This window comes from Homo sapiens, chromosome 7, assembly GCF_000001405.40.
Source record: "Homo sapiens chromosome 7, GRCh38.p14 Primary Assembly".
NCBI lineage: Eukaryota > Metazoa > Chordata > Mammalia > Primates > Hominidae > Homo > Homo sapiens.
Window position 1 is genome coordinate 118,619,258 of NC_000007.14, and position 9,418 is coordinate 118,628,675.

General features: G+C 35.2%; 1 annotated feature.

Moving 5' to 3' along the window:
- Nucleotides 7,811–8,311: an enhancer, noted in NCBI's record as "H3K4me1 hESC enhancer chr7:118267122-118267622 (GRCh37/hg19 assembly coordinates)". NCBI's record gives its function as "activates a minimal SCP1, AML or CMV promoter by ChIP-STARR-seq in primed H9 embryonic stem cells {active_cell/tissue: H9 hESC(primed)}" and the evidence as "EXISTENCE:reporter gene assay evidence [ECO:0000049][PMID:30033119]".

The following is a 9,418-nucleotide window of genomic DNA, read 5'->3' on the forward strand; positions in this document are numbered from 1 at the left end:
ATTTGCAATACCATGAACATAACACATTCCTTTAAGGGGTCAAAACATTTTATTTTTTATATATTAATGGTTTCATGGTTTATCTTTAGTAGTGCTAGAACTGTTGTGATTATAATTAATGTCATCACTAATTACGCTATGGGAAAACATCATTTTCTTCTAAATTTTGCTAAACTGAAGAAAATATATATGATTCATGATGAGACAGTTCAATTAACCTTTAGCACTTACTGTATGTTGGTACAAGCAGTTTATTCATGCCATCTGCTTCACTTGCAGGATTTAAGTTGCTGATGATACTACTGTCAAATAGAAGGGATTTGGATAAGCTAGGAAATGCTTGATATATTTAGAATTCTGTAATCATTAAGTGATTATGCGTGTGTGGTTGTATATGTATATAATTTATAATATGCAATCATTGTATGAGGGCACAAGTTTCACATAAGAGGACATAACACATTTGAAATACTGCATGGTCAATTCCCTCTTAAAATCTGTTAATTAAATCTTTTTGTACTTTTGATTCCCTTGATAATTATTCTCAACTATTTTATAAAGTAGTCAACTAGCTGGAGGCTAAGGGCCTGTATTGATGTGACATTAGGGAGAGGCATGGGAAAAAGAAGCCCATTAAAAGCTAGAATTTCTTTTGATATCTCCTGTCTATATGAAAAAAATAAGGAAATTTTGTATTCTAGTTTATATGTAGATTCTTCTGGGAAGCTGCTAGCTACCATGGTTTGAGAAGACCACTATATCAAAATCTTCAAAAGTGCTTTTTTATTAAAGACATCCTAAGACTAACGCTTAGCACAATGTCTGGAATATAATAAATTCTTCTTGGTGGATAACATAGTATTATTTTTGTGATAATAAAGATTACATTATTAAAATTAATCTGTGGGTCTAAAAGAAGCCAAAATAAATCAAAAAGCACTATAAAAAGACATATGAGGAAAATATGTATCTTGTTGGCCCTTCTTCCCATCTTAGAATAGCCCAGCCTCCTCCAGCATCTCCTCATTCCATCCTCTGCTTTCTGTGCCCCAGCTCAGGCCAGCACCAGCTCCATGGCCCAGAGCTCATGCACTGACAATCAGTTTCAGGTATCGCAAGAACTGCTTCCTAGAGTTAAGTTCACAACATTATCTACTAACCTCTTAATAGTGAGCATTTCATGCTTTGGAATAGAATATATTTGGGGATACATAGATTTCCAAGAATTCCTGAGATTGACCATTTCTCTGTGGGTATTGCCAATTTGATTAACCAGAGCTCTGAATATTTTTATCTGATGTTGCAACTGTTTTAAGAGCTCTTTCTATATATGTAAAACATGATAATTATAAGCCAAAGCCCTTTGTATTAATGAGATAAATATATTCAAGATTGAATTAGGAAATATTGTATCTGATTAAACTCTATAGCTGAAAAACAAATGAAAGATTATTATCTTCAGTGTTTTGAAAATTCACATTTTTTTTCATGTTTGATGTCTTTTTTTAATTATACTTTAAGTGCTGGGATACATGTGCAGAACATGCAGGTTTGTTACATAGGTATACATGTGCCATGGTGGTTTGCTGCACCCATCAACCCATCATCTACATTAGGTATTTCTCCTAATGCTATCCCTCCCCAGCCCTCCACTCCCCAACAGGCCCTGGTGTGTGATGTTCCCCTCCCTGTGTCCATGTGTTCTCATTGTTCACTCCCACTTATGAGTGAGAACATGCGGTGATTGGTTTTCTGTTCTCGTGTTAGTTTGCTGAGAATGATGGTTTCCAGCTTCATCCATGTCCCTGCAAAGGACATGAACTCAGATATTTAAAGTTTCATTTAATCACTCCGTATTGGAAATGTTGATCTGAACATAGCCCCCAAAATGCTTTGTTTGTTCTTTTTCCCCTAACCCAATATCAATTTTCTTTCACACTGCATCTTTTCTAGGTTGTCTTTTTCAGAGGCTGTTGTAGATCAACCTGTCTGGCAGAATGCATAAGGAGGATTTTTTTAGACATGTTGATACTGAGCACACTGTTACATTTTCTTATCCGGCAATCCTGACATCTTTGGAGAAATTTTCTTCCTAGCCAATTTCATACGGTTAATTTTTTTCATGTAAAGCAATATATATTACCCACTTTCAGTAATACATTTATACACTTAAATAGAAGATACAAGATTTTCCAAACTTTAGAGTAATGTTCAAATCAGACTCTCAGACGATATAAAGAGTTATCGCTGTAAAAATGTAAAATGATTAAATTGTGACTAAATCTTTAAACAATTAAAAAGTATGCCCGTGGAGAGTTAATATATTTGTAATATCTATTTCAATAACTTAAAACTTAGGAGATAATTAGACAACAGAATCTATTAAGTCACAATAATTATTTTTTGCCTGGAGATACAGATTACATTAATAGATTTCATCAGCTGTAAATGTCATAATGCCTGGAGGTAGTTCCTGCTTCTTATAAAAGGAGTTAAACATAACATTCATATAAACTCATATTAATCCTCCAGTTTTATTGTGTCCTTTAGAATAATTTAACTAAGTGACTGGAAGATTTTTATTTTGCATTAGAGAGCACAGGATTTCTTGTTGATTTTAAGCATTTATTTAATAATAATATTAAATTTGTATTAAATATAAATTAATACTAAAGGTGCATTGTCTGAACCTCAGAGGATTTTATGAGTCTAAAATAAATATATGTAGCTCATGGGTTTGTCATGACCCAGAGGATACGTTTCCTGCAACCTATAGCATGAATTTTGCAAATGTTCCAAAGCTCATGGTGCCTGCGGCAGTAAATGTTCTAAGCCATCAGCTGGTAAGTGACTTTGGAAATTAGTTGGAGGTTAATTCTCTGCCTCATTGGCCCCCTGAAGTGGACAAACTGTAATTGATTTTGATAGCGTTCACAAAGAACTTTTTTCTATTGAAAATGGAGGCATACTCCCAGAGACATCCTCTGGATACAGGAACAATTAAATAGGTATCAATGAGATGTCATTAAAAGTTTATGTTTCTGTAATTAATAAACACTCCTTACTTTTGGCAATTTTGTTGCTTTTAAAAACTACAAATTTTAAATTGTCAAAATGGTTTATTTTTCCTGTGGAGTGTTTTCATTTAACTCGAGTATCTTGCACAAGCACTAATATTCTATTTTCATATATGCTGCTATAGAAAGAAGCAGCTATGGGCATGCATATTCATTTGTGTCTATAACCTCACAAAGGAAAGAGCAAAGAGTTACTCTCTGGGACAGTGGTGTCCTCAAGTGAGCATCTTGAGCAAAAGGAGTAAAACTGATCAGGAACACGTTCACTGTCATGGATTTTGTTCAATAGTTACATAGAAAAATTAAGTCCATATCTTTTTCATTTAAATGAATTCCTCTAACCACTCAATAACAAATCAATTATAGCTGTATCTTTTAACTGTGTATTTTGCAAAATCTAGACCTTTTTAAATCTAAGCTGGATAAACAGACTTGGTAGCTCTTTAAGATACACCAAAATAGGTGTCCTAATTAGTTTGATGAGATGATTGTAGAATCTCTAATTGCATCAGTTGTAGCCTTACTATATTGAGTTTCTTGAAAGAATTAAGCCTAGTATATTCTTCCAACACAGTATAGGCACTGTGATTTCAGAAAGTCTAAGACATAGTTACAAACTAAACACTATACTAAGGTATTTTTATATGTCATTTAAAAATTATATTATTCTTTATAAGTAAATTTGCCCAGGCCTCTACATAGTAAGTGCTGGAGTTAAGATTTTAAGACAGTGTGTATGCCAACTTTAGATAATTCATAAATTAATAACAGATTTTTAGAGGCAGGTAGGACATCCTTCAAATAGTAATAGTAAACACCAGCTAAGATGTCCATTATCTATTTTGATGTCTTCTAGAGGCAGTCAGCAAAAATAAACCCAATTCTTTTCTTTATTATGCTGAAAACATTAGAAAAAGAGAAGTCAAAACACTAAAATGGAGATTACGTATTCTACAAATAAAAATGAAATACTATCTTTGTCCACGCTTAAATTTACAGTTCATTTAAAAATACTACAATTTGGGGTATTCAGATTAACTTTTGTAGCTTGATGATTGAATTGTTTTATATATACATATATATATATATATATATATATATATATATACACACACACACATAGAGAGAGAGAGAGGCTTTAATATTTCTTAAATTTTATTTTTAAATTTTAATCTATTTCTGTATTATTTTTCATTTGTTGTGAGACTGGGTTATGAGACCTGGCTAATTTTTGTATTTTTGGTAGAGATATGGTTTCACCATGTTGCCAAGAGTCTCCAACTCTTGGCCTCAAGTGATCACCCACCTTGGCCTCCCAAAGTGCTGGGATTACAAGTGTCAGCCACCGTGACTGGCCCATATAGGCTTTTATATTTGTATTAAAAGAGCAATTTGTCAGGAATGAAGATCATGTCATGCAAAGCATCTAAACAATAAGGAAAAATACTTATTTGAATATGGGGCCCACTCTAAGCCCTCAAGTTTCCCAGCCAGGGAGCCATATATCCTCTTTTCCTTTCAATGTCTTTCATTTGATAGAGGATTGTTCATGTGATGTTGAAGGATCCCTGGAGCCAAACAAACGTGTGAGTAATTCAAGACTTGTTATTTCTCAGACCATCAATTTCTTTATTGTTAACAATGGAGGAAAAATACTTACTTTTTACCATTAGTGTGGAGTAAAGTGAGATAATGGCCATAATGCACTTAGAGAAATGCCAAAAACTCAATAAATAGAGCTCGAATTAGTCAGCCCCAGCTGCCATAACATAATAGCACAGATTGTGTGGCATGAACAAAAGAAATTTTTATTCTTGCAGTCTGGATGCTGGAAGTCTGAGGTCAAGGTATTAACTGATTCTGTTCCTGGAAAGGGCTCTCTCTTCCTGGTTTGCAGATGGCTGCCTTCTCGCTATGTTCCCAAGTGGTGGAGAGAGAAGGAGAAATCTCTTTCTCTTCATCTTCCACCAATCCAATTGGATTAGGACGTAACCTTATGACTCTAATTACCTCCTAAAAGCCCTATCTCCTTATACAGTCAAATTATGGGTTAGAGCTTCAACATATGAATTGGGATGTGGAGGCATACAATTCGGTTCATGGAGTAGTTACTTAAAAACTAGTGTTTTAAAAATATTTTTAAAATATTCTTCATTAGTGGAACCTCAATTTTTCTCTCAGTTAATGGAGATTGTGTGATATATTTTAGGTCATCTTCCTGAAAGTTTCACCAGCCAAATTCGCCTGATTAAATTCCATGTTCTCTGCTTCTGTGAGTTTATTTGTGAAGAAGTAAAGAGAACATTTTCTTCTTTTATGTTCTCAACTCTCTGAACTGTGCCTGACATAGGCAAACCCAGGGTCCTTAGAGGCTGGATAGAACCACTAATAGGACTATTTGGCATTATGGCTGGGGTGTAATTGCTTTTCAGTTTTACAGCTTTACTAAGAGACTGTTATTGCTCTTTCAGAGTTACTTCAGAGCCAGCTGTTTAAACAATAAAATTTGTTCAAAATAGGGCTTTACTGACAATTTTCCTCTTTATAATTGGTGCTACTGCCTCCATAAACTCAGTTTCTTTTTTAGATGTCTGATGGCTGTCAGAGTTCTTTGTAGTTCTTTTAGAGATGCTACAGCAAAGTATTTAGTATAGTTCTTCCTTCCTGGACTATTTCATAATAACTCAAAAAATGAGGAATGGGTTTTCACAGATGAAATATAGCAAACTCCTCTAAAGTGATAAACTAAATGTAAATTTTACATATAACACACTAATTAAAATAGTGAAATGTCTTTGTGGATTTAATAGCTATTTAGCTTCAGCAGGAAACACGATAAATGAAATGGAAGATAAGTTCAAAGAGAAAGAAAAATTAAGAAAATGTGTGTGAGAGAGAGAGAGAAAGAGAGAGAGACACAGAGAGAGAGAGATAAAATGGGGTAATAAAGAGAGAAAAGAAGTGAAAGATAATGTAAAAAAATTCATGTAGACAATAACTCAGAATTATCCAAATGGAAGAAAGATATTAATGCTCAGATTTCAGAAGCTCTACAAATCCATGCACAAAAATATAATGAGAACTACACATAGACACTACCTTATTACCTGTGTTTTCTTACTGATTTATAAACATTCATTATACATTCTCATCCTGTGTATTTAGATCACAGTATTGTTTACATGAAAGTGTTCGCTTTGTGCATATTTATTTAGCTGCACAGTATGTACACCTTCCCACAAACAATAGAAAAGTACCAAGAAACTACATAAATAATAAGCCAGAGAAAAATGCTATTTAATAAAAGAAAAAAAGAAAAAAACAAGGTCTAGAACAGAATGTTTATCTCCTTCAAAATATTTGTAGATAAATAGAATAACTGAAAGGTTATATCAGTGATCTTCACTTCCCAATTAAACACCTCTTAAATGGAGATGCTGCTACTGCCTTCATTACATATTGACATATTTTTATTTCACTAATGGTTTTGCAGGTAACTATCTCTTTTCTATAATTTCTAGAGTCAATAAAATGGGCAGCCTGTGTTAGTTTACTGTTACATCAGGAGTTAAACTAGTTTTAATTTTGATTTGAATATTTTATTCACATCAAATAATTCAGTACATGTATTTTCTATTTACTAATTTTCTCTTTGTACTTAGATATATGCTTTAAATTAATTTTGCCTTTACTTCATATTTTTTGACCCACACTAATGTATTCAATGCATTTAGAAAATCAAAATATATTGAATATTTAATAGCTGCTAATTGTCAATACTTTGAATTTGTTACCTACCTACATAAGTAAATATGTAAATTATTTAAAATCTCACGTGGAAATCATACATAAAATCAATTTTTAATTAAACATTAATTTTAAAGATATCTGTTTAATGTATTGTTCATTATAAAAATGTCAAGTAACATCAATTTGAAAACAGTATTAAATTTTATAGAAAATTAACTTGTTAGCTTTTGGTAGCTTATTTTGGATTCTAAAATATTAAATATTTAACAAAAGAAAAATGAAAGCACTGTTTAAGGACTTGGGTCATGTTAGTAAACAGATGTTAATAAACAGATTGTATTAATCTAAGAGGATTTTCAAGTTTTCAAAGAATATGTTGTAAGGAGGCTGCAGTCTTATTTTGAACTTACTTTTTATTTCCTATTAAAAAGACAATATCAAATGAAGAGATAATTAGTATAAAAAATCTGATTTTGATTAAGTGTAGTGCTTAACAATTAGGCAGCCAAAATTACGAATAAATGAATGAATGAATGAGAGAAAATGCTGAATATGTGCATTGATGTGAATTAAATACTATAACAATATATAAATAAATATAATTACCAGATTCATGAAACAACTTTCATCCAAGTAGCATAAAAGCCTAATATCGATAGTGGCAAGAGTCAGACAAATTCCTAAGGCAGACAGGGGTGGGTCCTTCAAGCCAAAGATATCCTGAAGACTGAAAACCAGGCTGCCAGTTCCTGGTAAAGTCCATGACCAAAGTGAGAACTTCCTCTATGCCTTTTTCAGCAATGAAACAGCGCTTTGTCCAGGCCTGCCAATGACTAATCAGCACACACTCCCCCATTCCGAGCCTATAAAAAACCTGAAGTCAGCCATATGTTGGACTACCACTCCAAGGCCCCATCTCACACAGAGGCCCACCTGCTCTCAGGTCCCCTCTCCGTAGAGAGCTTTCCTTCACTCACTCAATAAAATCCTTCCCTGCCTTGCTCACTCTCTGGTGTCCGCTTAACCTCATTCTTCTTGGTTGTGGGACAAGAACCTGGAGCCCAATGAACAGCGGGGGTGAAAAGATCTGTAACGTGTTCCTGGCTGGCTTGCCAGGCTGCAGGTGGTGTCATGTTCCCATTCACTGGACTATGGGAGTGAAGAGTGGTGACCCTTCTGGGGGCCCAGATCTTGGGATTCCTGAGCCAGAACTGTAACACTGTAACCCTCCTGCCCTTTGCTGGTGCCAGGCAGCTGCCCTATGTAATGGGAAGTGGCAGCAGCAGGGCCAAGCCAGCCCAGGAGCTGCAGGCTAGAGCTGGACGGCAGAACTAAATGAGCTGTAACACGAAGAAACTGAAACATGGCCCCCCATTTGCCATGCTGTGGGCGGCAAGAAGGAGAGAGAGCTGTAACAGTCCTTGAAGGCTCAGACTTTGGGGCTCCCTGGGTGAGAGCCTAACACCCCTTGGAGCTCTGTGGTTGCTGGCATTTCTGAGTTTTTGGGCGCCATCCCGTTCCCCTCATCTAGATGTTAATGCCTAAGGTGGAGGATGGTCGTGGCGTGCCTGGACCAGCTGCAGGCTGAGTGCAGACCCACAGTGGGCGGGAATGCAGGCTGGTAGTGCGAGCTGAGTGCAGCCAGCTGGGCAGAGTGGGTGGAGGAAAACTGTCAGTGAGCCCGAAGCTGAGCAAGACACCAACAGCCATGGAAATTTCTGGCACCAATAGAATCCTGTGTCAATAACAATATTCTTATATGGTATTTGCTGGTTATGTAAATGAAATAAATTGAGGTCAATCTCATTATATTTATTTTACAGACATGAAAACAAGGCAGACACACAATGGGTAACTCATTCTCAGGATGGTAGGTGGATAAAATCCTGTGGTGTGGGACATTATTTCCCACTGGATATGTTTGCTTATGGTCTTTTAAACAAATCACATTCGATTTGTGAAGATACTTTAGTGAAACATTTCCTAATGAAAATTAGTTTGTGTTAGAGATGTGACCTGTGGGTCACCGTGCCTAGGTATAATTAGATTGTATCAAAAGAATCAAATCAGCTGGGCACAGTGGCTCACACTTGTAAACCCAGTACTTTGGGAGGGTGAGGCAGGAGGATTATTTGAGCCCAAGAGCTCCAGACCAGCCTGGGCAACACAGTGAGGCTCTGTATCTACAAAAAATTAAAACGTTAACTGGGTGTGGTGGCATAGTCCCAGCTACTCAGGAGACTGAGGTGGGAGAATCTATTGAGCCCAGGAGGTCGAGGCTGAAGAGATCTGTAATTGTGACAATCTAGGTGATAGAGTATGACCCTGTCTCAAAAGAAAAACAAAGAAAGAAGCAAATCAAATGTCACTAGATCTTCTCCCTATCAGCCTAAGATTAAAGAGCATCAGAATCTTGAAAAATCCTCACTTACTCCTAAATGTTTCTTAGAGTTTAATCAGATACAATATTTCCTAATTCAATCTTGAATATATTTATCTCATTAATACAAAGGGCTTTGGCTTATAATTATCATTTTTTACATATATAGAAAGAGCTCTTAAAACAGTTGCAACATCAGATAAAAATATTT